The 13,784-nt window shown below is 41.1% G+C and overlaps 1 protein-coding gene and 1 long non-coding RNA gene across 56 annotated transcripts in view; one reads left to right on the top strand and one right to left on the bottom strand.

Moving 5' to 3' along the window:
• Positions 1 to 8,018, top strand: part of DTNA (dystrobrevin alpha) — a 398,533-nt gene extending 390,515 nt beyond the window's left edge. For 28 of the 49 annotated variants that reach the window (XM_047437332.1, XM_047437326.1, XM_047437322.1 and 25 more), the window contains 2 exons: positions 902 to 950; positions 3,940 to 8,018. In XM_047437332.1, the coding sequence (XP_047293288.1) occupies positions 902 to 919 (18 nt within the window). In that variant the 3' untranslated portion in view covers positions 920 to 950; positions 3,940 to 8,018. The remainder of the gene's footprint in view (positions 1 to 901; positions 951 to 3,939) is intronic. The other 21 variants (XM_047437323.1, XM_047437318.1, XM_047437319.1 and 18 more) reach the window with 2 other exon arrangements.
• Positions 8,190 to 13,784, bottom strand: part of LOC105372061 (uncharacterized) — a 51,352-nt gene continuing 45,757 nt past the window's right edge. For 5 of the 7 annotated variants that reach the window (XR_007066333.1, XR_007066334.1, XR_935370.3 and 2 more), the window contains 2 exons: positions 9,334 to 9,818; positions 8,190 to 8,624 (listed from right to left, as the gene is read on the bottom strand). This is a non-coding gene — a long non-coding RNA (uncharacterized LOC105372061). Of the gene's footprint in view, positions 9,819 to 13,784 lie in introns of all 7 variants that reach the window. The other 2 variants (XR_001753406.3, XR_001753404.2) reach the window with 2 other exon arrangements.

Raw genomic sequence — 13,784 nt, forward strand, 5'->3', positions numbered from 1 at the left:
GCCTTTTCAGTTTAACGACCACATTTCAGAAGCAACTAAAATGTTGGTCTAGCCATACCAAAGAAAGAGGGTAAAAGAAAAACATAAGTGACTCTATATGTAGAGCCGTGCTCCCATGCTTCAGAAACAAATTCGCCTGATTGCAAACCCATGGAGAGTGCAGTTTTCCTTGCGCCTTCTATGGCTCCTCCACAGAAGGAAATCAGCCTGGAATGAAACTGCCAGGGTGTCTCTGGGAATCCTCAGGGATGGCATTCCTACACATATCTCCTTAGGCTCTGCTGTGTAGAAGGAAAGAAAAATGTGACTAAATAACCAATGTTCTGGTTCATGCTATTAGAAGCGTCTATTAGGCCTCCCTCTTTGAGCTCGTGTCACCTTCTGTATTTCAGTGGCAGCAGTAACTGAAATTCTAGGGGTTCTTTTTTTTCTTTAAGGGAGGCAGGCTTACACCATTCCATATAAAATATTAGATTTTTATTCATTTTAATGAATTAAAAATGTAACCTTCTATGAGTAAAATGAAGGGAATTTCTACTAATGACTTAAGATTCAACTGGAGTTTTTACCATCGCTGGTAAATCTTAAGCTCCCTCTCCCTCTCCTTTCTTTTCCGTGCCTCATGACTTCCAAGAAAAGGACAGGGAAGAAGCTGGGAGACTATAACAGGCCTGTGTATCTCCACTCAAAACATACTCCCTGGAGGAGATGTCAAAGTGGTTTTCCTTGAATGCTCTGTGAGCATACGGTTGTTGGATGGATTGGAACGCTACTCTCACTCAATAGACTCTCTCTCTCTCTGTGTCTTTGTGCATGGCTTCCCGCCAAATAATTCACCAGCTTGACTGCATCACAGACTTGACGTGTCACCTTTCTCGTTTGTGTCCTTTGTCACCCACAGGTCAGCTTGCAAGGTTGAATGCAATATCCTTTTATCACACTCCTCTCAAGTAAGTACCATCTTATTTAGGAGGAATCATGGCCACTGTACACTGAATTCTGATAACCTGTAATGCGAATTCACAATCACTTCTCTTAGTCATTTCTTTCTATGTGATAAAATACCCTCCTTAACTGCTGATATCGAAGAGTCGTCTCAGTCTGTGGAGGGTTTCATTATAAACCAGTGGAGATTTGCCAGACATCCTTGGGAGGTGACTTCTTACTCTATTAGCTAGGAAAATTGGCACAAAGCTTCTAAACCTAGAGACGTTCCAGTAATCCTCTGTGGCTATGAAACTTACCAATAAGTTTGTCACATCACCAATCCATGACAATATCGGAGTTTGTAGCCGCTCTAGCACTTGAAAAGGAAAAGTCAGTACCTCTAGAGATGGGCCAGCTTGTTAGTCATACTATACCTCGGGCTCAAGAGATCAAATGTGTGTGCCTTAACGAGTGAAAGCAAAATCATGCATTAATAAAGAGAACAAAAGAGCCCAAACAGAGGAAAAATTCTGCAGCCTTATGTTTTTGGAATACCTGATTCAAATCCATTGTGGAATTCAGCAGTATATAAATTAATTTAAAATATTATTTTCATGGCATGTGAAACCACTCCAAAGCCCTACCTAAATATGTGGAAAATTCTCAGTAATTTTTTAATGCAGAGAGATTAGCACTGGACTGGCAGCATCACTTGACTGTAGTGGTCTGAAGCTTAGGCGCCAGACTCTAATAGACCCATTTCAAATACGGGTTTCACCAAATCCTAACAGCAGAACTTTGGGCAAATTATTAAACCCGTATTACCTCAGTTTCCTCTATACAACATATTGCATAATAGCCTCATAGAAGAGGCTGGTATTATGTATCACCACAGAAGAGGCCGGTATTAAAAACCATATCCTACTCACTGGGATGTAGTTTTTAAAGAGCTTGGCATAGTGGAAGGCACATTATCATTTATTATGAACATTCACATATATGCCTGCCCCTATGTTCAGTGCTTTATAGCACTTCAACACCTGGCAGCTGCCATATTGCTTACCTAAGTGTACGGGAAACACTGGGACCCAGAACTAGCTTGCTTTCTCTTCTACTTTTATAAACAAGGCTAGGATGCAGCTACATGTGATGACTTGGCACACTGTGGGCCACACTGTTCCGTAAGTCTAGATTTTTTCTCTGGCTCCAGCTAATAGCCATTTAGATGCCTCCATGGTAGTTCAAAGCTAATATACCTCTCAAAGGATTCTGGCTGCACTGGCCCAAACATTTGAGCTTTCCCAATCATGGAATCCCATAAGTCTGTACTGCAGTGGACAGTAAATGCTATCAATGTTGGTTGCTATTAATAATTTGAAAAAGGAATAAATATCTGTTAAGTGACATACTAATTAGTAAAGAATACATGCTAGTGCAAATGCTACTGACATCCTGTCTCAGTCCTCAGGTTAAAATTAAGCAAGTGAAAATCATGGAGTAATTGCTATGATCATATATATTTTATGAGCGAAGAGGAAGGAGCTCATTGACCACTCTCTATTCTGCCTCTCCTGGATTTGAGAGTGCCACCACACATGCTCTCCTGACTCATTACAAGTAGAGTGAAAAAATTCCCAGGAGCTGTTTCTGAAAATATTCACTCCAGTTATAACAAATTTAGTCCCAAGGGGCAGGCCTTTTCCTTTAATAGCACTTTCTTTCTCTTAGCTTCAGCAATTTGATCATTGTTGTTCTGCACATTATTTAAACATCAGTAGCTAGTTCTTAGAAAAATATTTTTGAAAGTCTAATAAAATGTGCTTGCGTTAAACCCAGATAAAAAGTGGAATTTGGTACCTAAAAGCCAAAAATTTCAGTACTCTAGAAGTTCCTAGGCCATTTTTTAAATCTTTGGTTGCAAATTTGGCAGTGAAAAATTAGACTGTTGTAGTCTTTGCCATTTACTGCATCCTGTAGCCTACCTAGCTGGAATTCCACAGAACTCTGAACAAGAACCAGCCTGTCATTCAATCAGCCACATAGGCAAATTCATTTAAAACCTGATAGAATGTTGTAAAAACTAGTGGCTTTTCATTTTTGCAGCTGGTTCTATCCTATTGTACTTTTTCTTAATGTAACCAAGAAATGCAGGTGCATTTTAGGCCAGTTTATTTCATTAAAATATTTTTGTTTAGACTTTCTGGCTGTACTGCAAGACCAGAAATTATCCCAAAGTATATGTGTCTCTTATCCAAGGGTTCTGAAGCCAGATTCATCAGCTTGACATTAGTTAGCCATCCGCCAAGGCAGAGAGCCTTGCATTGGGAAGAGGCAGAAGGTGGACGCCAGAGACATAGAAGATGCAACCTCTGCTCAAAAAGAGCTTTAGGCTTATTTGAAAATAAGTACACACTTTCAACATACAATATTAAAAAAAGTGAATAGTTTAAAACCTGGTTTATTGGTTTTCAACTAGCCACTTTTGAAGAAACGGTATACATAATGGCACTCAGCTTAGGGTCCTCCAAGACTCAATTTTAGCCCATTTAGGTATTCAATTTGTCCCTGTTACATCCTGTGGCCACATGGTACACCACTGTCCTTGGCCACTCACATCCAAGTGGAAATTAGAGGATTGGACCATCCAAAGTAGATTTTTTAAAAACCAACGTGGCAGCCTAATCATGGGTCACTGGTTTTATCTCTTTGTCCAAAAGACAGCACAAATATTTCTGTTTGTGTTGCTTTTCCCCTCCAGATGCCTCTGGTACCCACTAAGAAAGAGATCCACATGGAGGACTTCCTGTCCTCTCTTCCAGAAGGTGCAATAGCACAGTGTCCTAGGACTTTCATTCCTGATTGTCGTAGGAAAGGAGTGTGTGTGTGCATGTGTGTGTGTGTGTGCGCGCGCACTTTCTTCTATATTGGGGAAAGGGGGGATCCTAAGTTTCATAACCCTAATTTAGAAACAATTTGCATCTTTAAAAAAAATTACACATTCCTTATTCCCAGGCAAGCTATAGTCAGACAGATGATGAAAGTAACATGAAAACTGGTGATGATGGAGAGCCCTGTGGCCACACAGAGGAGGAAGACAGCAGCCTGGCAGCAGCCTCACCGAAGAGAGGAACCACCACACCCAGCAGCTCCTGACAGACCCCCACCCCTAAAGATGTGTCCTGATGACTATAGTGCAGCTAACTTTTTGTTCTCAGATTTGTAGTGCATAGGTGTGTGTTTCAAGAAGGAAAAAAAAAGACTTCTGTTCAAAGTTAACTTATCAGCTACATCCTCTGTAACGTGGTTCATCCCTGGTTAAAAAGCAAACAAACACAGGCTGAAAACCCATGCTGCTGTTATACACAATGGCAGTATTAACAAGCATTTTAAACCTTTGCACATGATATTGAACCTGTTCAGTTTACAATGACAATATTAATACTGTTTATAGCTAGAAGTTTGATTTCTGAATTCTTTGAGATTTTAGCAAAACAGTTTATTATACACTGTACATTTTTTTCACAGCAATTGGAAAAAAACAACCACTTGCAATCATTCAATAACCCTGAAGAATTTGGTTCCTGAGTGTACAAACTCAGAGCCCGGAAGCCAAGAAGGGTCCTTGGCCTGCACGGTCTGTAGTTGACTCCAAGTCTCTGTGAGCAGTGACTTGAACCAAACACACCAGGAATAATCCATTCTTTGGGGCCTCTTTCCAACTCGAGGTTGTTTTCTTTCAAGATACTCTAATCAGCCATAGAATTTAGTGTAAATATTTTTTTTTCCAAATAGATATCATATTCAAAAAAGGCAGCATTCAAATTATATAGAATCTAGTTTTTAAAATCAGCACAGATCTTCTTAAAAACTGTGAACTATGTTTTGAAATACTCGTTACTAAAGCTGTTTATAAACCACAGGTGCCATAAGATCCCCAAACGGACTAAAGTTATCTCTGCTCTTCCATGGTCTTGTTCCTCTCGTTTTGGCTTTAGGAAGCATGTCTTTAACAGCACCGCTCGTTCACAAGTTCCCCCATCAAGTTGTTTGGAGGCCTTCAGCTTTAAATGTACAGGCTTAAAGTGCGCTTGCAAACGTTTGCTCTCCTTTTTTTCTGAATGTTGATTGCCTTAGCTGGCCACCTGGTGTTCTGCATGTAGCCTTCTGTGGTCATGTGAAAGGAGACAGGCTCTTCTAAGTTGAGTTGGGATTTTTGCACTCAGTGAAAAGCTGAAGTGCAAAAGAGCTATCAAAGACAAGAGGATAAAAGACTGGGATAGTCTTTTCCAAGGACCCTCTTTAGAGGGCCCTAAAGACCTCCTTTGGGAATTCTGGGGAAAAAGAAAAAGTAATCTTCTACTTGCTTCAAGATTTGATTTTTTTAAAAAAGCCTGCGACCTATTCAATACATTATGCTTAAATTAGCAGTTTCTCTGGAATTCCTGTCTCTCCTTTAAAAGAAAGGAGAGAACATTTTAGAACAATAGTTCTCAAAGTGTGTTCCCCGGACAAGCAGCATCTGCAACACTTAGGAAGGTCTTCGAAATACTAATTTGTAAGCCCCACCTCAGGCCTACTGAATCAGAAGCTCTGGGGGTTGGGTCCAGAAGTCTGTTTTAGTCAACCCTCTAGGTGATTCTGATGCTCGCTAAAGGTTGAGAACTACTGCTTTAGAATGAAGTCGTATAATAAAGTCTCTGAAAAGGCCTTATTCAGAATAAGCAAGAAAGGTTCTGTGATTCACTTTTGCTTCTGGGGCTGGCAAAAACCTTCTCTGAACCCACACACCAAGTTCGTAGTTGGTAGGTGCCCAGCCAAGTCCTGACATCTTCATGCCCCCTCTGCAGAGGGCGGCTGTACGATGTTCACATGTCTGCGTTTGGTCAGACATCATCTCCTTGGCTGCCCTTTGAAACCAAATCACTTGCCTTGGGGATAAAGTGCTCAATTGGCATTAGTGAGAAGCCCATCCTATCCCTTGACATACTTAATCATATATCTCTCCAGAGAACTCACCTGACAAATGTCTCTGAGCACAGGCTGACACCAAAGTGGCACAACTGCACAGTTCTCAGATTTCTTTGCACAGATTGATTTTTATTGCGGGTTTTGTTGGGGTGTCTTAATGTTCATCTCTTTTCCACTGCCCATCCTCTGTGAACCCATACCTCTCTAGATGGAGCAGGTGGCCACTGGTGCCTCATACTCAGTATTGAAAACCACTACATCCCAGCTACCTATAATGCTGTCAGCTCAAAATCATAGCCAGGTAGTTCTTGAACTCAGAACTTAAATCCTGCACGTGGCACTCCACCACTGACTGGACCGAGCTGGCATATGTTGTTTCTTTGTGTTTCTACATCAAAATGTTCGTCTAAGATTTGAACTGTTCTGCTGATAACCTTCCCCGTTGTCATAGCTATTTCATTGCCAACCAACTCCATCACATGGTTGTTGATATCGTCATATAAAGCCATTGCAAGGACTCTGGAAACTGCCGCCAATGACCAATTTCTGACTAACCAGCCACCTTTTCTCTCTCTTAGCTCCACGTCAGCACTGAGACCAGACTCGAGCACCCCTGTCCTGTAAGCGAGACAAAATGGCGTGTGTTATTTTGGGGTTTTGTGTTTTTTGGTGGGTTTCTTTCCTTGGCTCTCCAGATTTACTTTTGGGGCCTGTTCTAAGTGCAAACCCAGCAAGTTTCACTTGTCCTGTCCATTAGATACAACTACATCTTGCGGGGGTTGTTTCTTTCTTGTTCCACAATGAATTGCACATCCATCTCCATCAGAGCTGATAGCCTGTTAATAAGCACTGGTCTAACACAGCCAACCCTCCTCCACAGCGCCATATTAATGGAGGAGGGGAGGAAGGTGAAATCTACTGCATGGGATTCAGGAAACAGTTGTGGTTGGTCAGGACGGAAGTTGGGGTAAGTTTGGTTGGTCAGAGGGAGTTGTGCTGGAGATTGTGAAAAATGGGTTCTTGAATGATCTACTATAAGGCAGGGAAGGTTCATTTGTAAGTAGTAATGTGAACTGAATTGCATTAAGAGTGTGTGGCCTTTGTTGTGATATACTATGTATTTTCTTATATGCATGAGCCAAACTGTTGCATCATAATTTAGCACTGATGTCTGCTTTTATTTTGATCATCTTTGTCCACCCTTATTAGTTCTTGGCTGTTAACCGTAGATAGATCTTGTAAATCCAGCAACCTTTGGTTGCTGCATTCCCCTTGGTTCGATTCCACGCAAGGAGCCACAAGTGAGAACTCCACTGTCCTTAGAAGAAAGGGCATTTTTACTTTTGAACCAAAAAGAGAAAAAAAAATCAGAAGTGTTGCATCTTGAGGCGAATTAACTGTAAGACATTTTTAATTATGACTACTGCAATTTGACACCATTTGAAATAATCAATTCAGAGACACTAAAGATTTCACAATATTCATTGGTATTGTAAAAAAAAAATACTATTGTATGGATTTTTGTATTGCTGTTAAGTATTGTTTTGTGTGTGTGTGTGTGTGTGTGTGTTGGAACCTCCTGGGGACATGTTATATTTTGAAGTGATTAAACTATTTAATTGTGTGTCTATATTTTGGAGTGGAATAATTTCTTCATTAAAAAATGTTTTTAAAAACACTATATCTTGGGTGGTTTATTCCTTTGTTTCAGTGAATCTTTCCTAAAGCAACGTGGAGTCAGTCTGTTGAAAGAAGGAAGGCAGGTACTTGCAGTTTAAAGCAGGACCCATTGATGGAATATTGAGCCACCGAGGCAAAATAGCTCACCTTCTCTTGCCTTGGGGGATGCATGGTTTTTACCATTCTACTGTTTTATTAGCATCTGTGAGCATCTAATAGAAATACTATTCTGCTATTTATGGAAATCCTTATTATAATTGATATGGAAGTGAGTTTGAAATTCTAACAGCTAACATATTTCATGTTTGTATCACACACTGTTCTTAACACTTTATGTGACTTCACTCAATTCTTTGAATCCTCTGCATCTAGCCATGTATTCTGCAAATATTAAGTGCTCAATGGTTTTTTTGTTGAATTACTGAATAAATGAATTAGTGGTGTTTGGTTTGTTTTTTTTTCTAGAGCTAGTGATAAAGGAGGATCAGCAGGGCTAGGAAGTCAATGTGGTGACAGCAACAGCAATCAAATTAAGAGATCCAAGGAGAGTGTCAAGAGTCCACATGTTAAGTGTTCTTATCTCAGAAACAAACCACAAAGGGACACAAAGAAACTTTTGGAGGTGATGGCTATGTCTATTACCTTGATTGTGGTGATGGTTTCACAGGTATTTAAGTATGTCCAAACTCATCAAATTGTATACATTAAATAGGTACAGATTATTGTGTATCAATTATACCTCAATAAAACTTTAAAACAAACACATACAGATATAAATCTTGCACGCACAGATGGAAGAAATAGAGTCCACAGTGATGATCACTCCTTCTATTCACATCTCTCCCTCAGAACCTCTGTGAGTCCCATGCAATGGAAGATTGGGTGTTTCACTTGCTGAAAGATCTGTTTTCTTTACAGGATCTGTGAGTCTGGCTCTACGCTTCAAGAATAGCATTTTTGGGAAATCTGACTCTGGTGCTGAAAGTCTGTGCTCACAGGGTTGGGTTGATTTGAAGTCCATGGAAACAACTGTCAACACTCTAGACGCACTAGAGAGAGAAATTAAGAAGTTCTCCATCAATTACAAAGGCAAATACTGACCTGAGATAATCGTGAGAGGGAACTCACACAGTCCACTTCCCTTTGAAGGTGAGAGCCAAGGGCATGTCCAGCAGCTCCTGTCCACATCCCTTTGGGCGCTATCCCAGTGACTCACCACTTCATCTCTTAGGGGCCACATTTAGCTCTGCCCTACCTCAGCATTTCCCAAATTTATTGAATTACAAAAGCCTCCTGAGAAGTTGATTAATTCTGATTTGGCAGATGTAGAGTAGGGTCAGGTAATCTGGATGGTATTTTTAATAAGCACTTCAGGTGATGCTTACAGTCTGACCAGTTTTAACAAATGCTATTATGCTATTTCTTTGCTGCTCAAAATATGGTCCAGTGACCAACAGAATTAGCATCACCTGGACTTTGAGGATTCCCGTATATAGGACATAAAGATACCCTTCCCAGAAGTTGCCATCATCTAATCATGTGATTGATCTTTCTGGTGATCAGCCCCATTCTGAAGCTATCTAGGAACCTACAAAGAGTCACCTCATTAGCATAAAAAATATACTCTTGTCACTCAGGAAATTCCAAGGGCTTTTGAAGCTCTGTGCCAGGAGCCAGGTACAAAGACCAGAGAGACCACATATATTCTCCATTATGCTACACAATAATACTTGCTTTTATATTTGCCCATGTAGTTACCTTTACTGTAGACCTTTATTTCTTCATACAGCTTCAAGTTACCATTTAGTGTCCTTTCATTTCAACTTGAGGACATCTTGTAGCATTTCTTGCAGGGCAGGTCTACTTGTAGTGAACCCCTCAGCTTTTGTTTATTGGGAATATCTCAATTTCTTCCTCACTTTTGAAGGGCAATTTTGCCAGATACAGAATTCTTGGTTGATAGGTTCTTTTCTTTCAGCACTTTAAATATGCCCACTGTTTTCTGGCTTCCATAGTTCCTGATAAATAGCCAACTGTTCATCTTACTAAGGTTCCCTTGTACATGATAGTTGATTCTTTCTTGTTGCTTTCAAGATTCTCTGTCTTTGACATTCAACAGTTTGATTACAATGTTCTTGATGTGGACCTCACTGAATTTATTCTACCTAGAGTTCATTGTGCTTGTTGGATGTATAGAAATAAATTTCACAGATAATTTTTCAGGGAGATTGGTTAGGACATCACTGCAATAATCCAAACAAAAAGAAATAATGATAGTTTAGACTAAGGGTAGAGTAAAAGTGGTTATATTCTAAATATGTTTTGAGGGTAGAACCAACAGATTTTGTGGGTAGATTGGATGTGTGTGAGAGAAAGAGAAGAAATAAGGATGATAAAATAATTTGAGAACCCAAATAACTGGGAGAATTAAACTACTGAGAAAGAGCAGAATTTGGGTGGGTAGAATTTCAGGAGCTAATTTCTGGACTTAATACCTTCGAGATGCCTATTAAACATCCAAGTGAAAAGAGGGAGGAGTATTGGAAATCTAGGCTTGAAATTCAGAAGCAAAGTCTGAACTGGTACTACAAATCTTGACATCATCACTATGGAGATAATAAAAGAGACTGAAAAGGAATGGTCAGAAATGTAGGAATAAAATCAGGAGCTGTGGTGATGATCAACTGTGTTGATGCAGCAGCTGTCACATGAGCATTGAATTGAATTGATTTAATCATGTTCAAAGAATCTCTTTGCTATTTTCAAGCTTGAAGAACTCCTATGTTCTTAATGAAATCTTCATGAACCCTGAGTGAAAAGTCATGTTTGCTTTTCCTCTAAAAGCCTCAAGGGAGTTGAGTACTATAATAAATCCACAGAGTTGATTAGACGAATGGATACCTAGAATAACGAATGCAGAGAAGTCCTTAAAAGGGCTGATGGAGCTGAAAACCAAGGCTTGAGAACTACGTGAAGAATGCAGAAGCCTCAGGAGCCGATGCGATCAACTGGAAGAAAGGGTATCAGTGATGGAAGACGAAATGAATGAAATGAGCCGATTCTGATTTCCATCTCCACACACCCTCAAAAGCTAGCTCCTTTTCCTAGTTTCCACTTGGTGAGATCAATCCACAAAGACAGTGCTGACAATCTACATATTGTTGATAGGCTTATAACAACCAAGTCAATATAGAAAATATTTCCCTATTGACTCTCTAAATAGCTTTTTAGTGAAAAGGATATATGTAATCATTATTTTTGGAAGAGGAGCCTTACTTTTATGACTTCTGCAATTTCATCTGCCTCCATTATTTTCAGAGGAAGAAAGGCTAAGTAAGCAAGAAAGTTAGGAATTAAACCCAGTCTTGATCAAGGGAGGAGCCAGGATGGCCAAATAGGAACAGCTCCGGTCTACAGCTCCCAGCGTGAGCGACGCAGAAGATGGGTGATTTCTGCATTTCCATCTGAGGTATCGGGTTCATCTCACTAGGGAGTGCCAGACAATGGGCACAGGACAGTGGGTGCAGCTCACCGTGCGCAAGCTGAAGCAGGGCAAGGCATTGCCTCACTCGGGAAGTGCAAGGGGTCAGGGAGTTCCCTTTCCTGGTCAAGGAAAGGGGGGACAGACGGCACCTGGAAAATCAGGTCACTCCCACCCGAATACTGCGCTTTTCCGACGGGCTTAGGAAATGGCGCACCAGGAGATTATATCCCACACATGGCTCAGGGGGTCCTACGCCCACGGGGTCTCGCTGATTGCTAGCACAGCAGTTTGAGATCAAACTGCAAGGTGGCAGCGAGGCTGGGGGAGGGGCGCCCACCATTGTCCAGGCTCACTTAGGTAAACAAAGCAGCCAGGAAGCTCGAACTGGGTGGAGCCCACCACAGCTCAAGGAGGCCTGCCTGCCTCTGTAGGCTCCACCTCTGGGGGCAGGGCACAGACAAACAAAAAGACAGCAGTAACCTCTGCAGACTTAAATGTCCCTGTCTGACAGCTTTGAAGAGAGCAGTGGTTCTCCCAGCATGCAGCTGGAGATCTGAGAACGGGCAGACTGCCTCCTCAAGTGGGTCCCTGACCTGTGACCCCTGAGCAGCCTAAATGGGAGGCACCCCCCAGTAGGGGCAGACTGACACCTCACACGGCCAGGTATTCCTCTGAGACAAAACTTCCAGAGGAAGGATCAGACGGCAGCATTCGCAGTTCACGAAAATCCACGGTTCTGCAGACACTGCTGCTGATACCCAGGCAAACAGGGTCTGGAGTGGACCTCTAGCAAACTCCAACAGACCTGCAGCTGAGGGTCCTGTCTGTTAGAAGGAAAACCAACAAACAGAAAGGACATCCACACCAAAAACCCATCTGTACATCACCATCATCAAAGACCAAAAGTAGATAAAACCACAAAGATGGGGAAAAAACGGAGCAGAAAAACTGTAAACTCTAAAAAGCAGAGCGCCTCTCCTCCTCCAAAGGAATGCAGCTCCTCACCAGCAACGGAACAAAGCTGGACAGAGAATGACTTTGACGAATTGAGACAAGAAGGCTTCAGACGATCAAACTACTCCGAGCTACAGGAGGAAATTCAAACCAAAGGCAAAGAAGTTGAAAACTTTGAAAAAAATTTAGACGAAGGTATAACTAGAATAACCAATACAGAGAAGTGCTTAAAGGAGCTGATGGAGCTGAAAGCCAAGGCTCGAGAACTACATGAAGAATGCAGAAGCCTCAGGAGCCAATGGGATCAACTGGAAGAAAGGGTATCAGTGATGGAAGATTAAATGAATGAAATGAAAAGAGAAGGGAAGCTTAGAGAAAAAAGAATAAAAAGAAACGAACAAAGCCTCCAAGAAATATGGGACTATGTGAAAAGACCAAATCTGCATCTGATTGGTGTACCTGAAAGTGACAGGGAGAATGGAACCCAGTTGGAAAACACTCTGCAGGATATTATCCAGGAGAACTTCCCCAATCTAGCAAGGCAGGTCAACATTCAGATTCAGGAAATACAGAGAACGCCACAAAGATACTCCTCGAGAAGAGCAACTCCAAGACACATAATTGTCAGGTTCACCAAAGTCGAAATGAAGGAAAAAATGTTAAGGGCAGCCAGAGAGAAAGGTCGGGTTACCCACAAAGGGAAGCCCATCAGACTAACAGCGGATCTCTCGGCAGAAACTCTACAAGCCAGAAGAGAGTGGGGGCCAATATTCAACATTCTTAAAGAAAAGAATTTTCAACCCAGAATTTCATATCCAGCCAAACTAAGCTTCATAAGTGAAGGAGAAATAAAATACTTTACAGAGAAGCAAATGCTGAGAGATTTTTGTCACCACCAGGCCTGCCCTAAAAGAGCTCCTGAAGGAAGCACTAAACATGGAAAGGAACAACCAGTACCAGCCACTGCAAAATCATGCCAAAATGTAAAGACCATCGAGACTAGGAAGAAACTGCATCAACTAACAAGCAAAATAACCAGCTAACATCATAATGACAGGGTCAAATTCACACATAACAATATTAACTTTAAATGTAAATGGACTAAATGCTCCAATTAAAAGACACAGACTGGTAAATTGTATAAAGAGTCAAGACCCATCAGTGTGCTGTATTCAGGAAACACATCTCACGTGCAGAGACACACATAGGCTCAAAATAAAAGCATGGAGGAAGCTCTACCAAGCAAATGGAAATCAAAAAAAGGCAGGGGTTGCAATCCTAGTCTCTGATAAAACAGACTTTAAAACAACAAAGATCAAAAGAGACAAAGAAGGCCATTACATAATGGTAAAGGGATCAATTCAACAAGAAGAGCTAACTATCCTAAATATATATGCACCCAATACAGGAGCACCCAGATTCATAAAGCAAGTCCTGAGTGACCTACAAAGAGACTTAGACTCACACATAATAATAATAGGAGACTTTAACACCCCACTGTCAACATTAGACAGATCAACGAGACAGAAAGTTAACAAGGTTACCGAGGAATTGAACTCAGCTCTGCACCAAGCAGGCCTAATAGACATCTACAGAACTCTCCACCCCAAATCAACACAATATACATTTTTTTCAGCACCACACCACACCTATTCCAAAATTGACCACATAGTTGGAAGTAAAGCTCTCCTCAGCAAATGTAAATGATCAGAAATTATAACAAACTGTCTCTCAGACCACAGTGCAATCAAACTAGAACTCAGGATTAAGA

The sequence above is a fragment of the Homo sapiens genome, chromosome 18 (assembly GCF_000001405.40).
Source record: "Homo sapiens chromosome 18, GRCh38.p14 Primary Assembly".
Taxonomy (NCBI): Eukaryota; Metazoa; Chordata; class Mammalia; order Primates; family Hominidae; genus Homo; species Homo sapiens.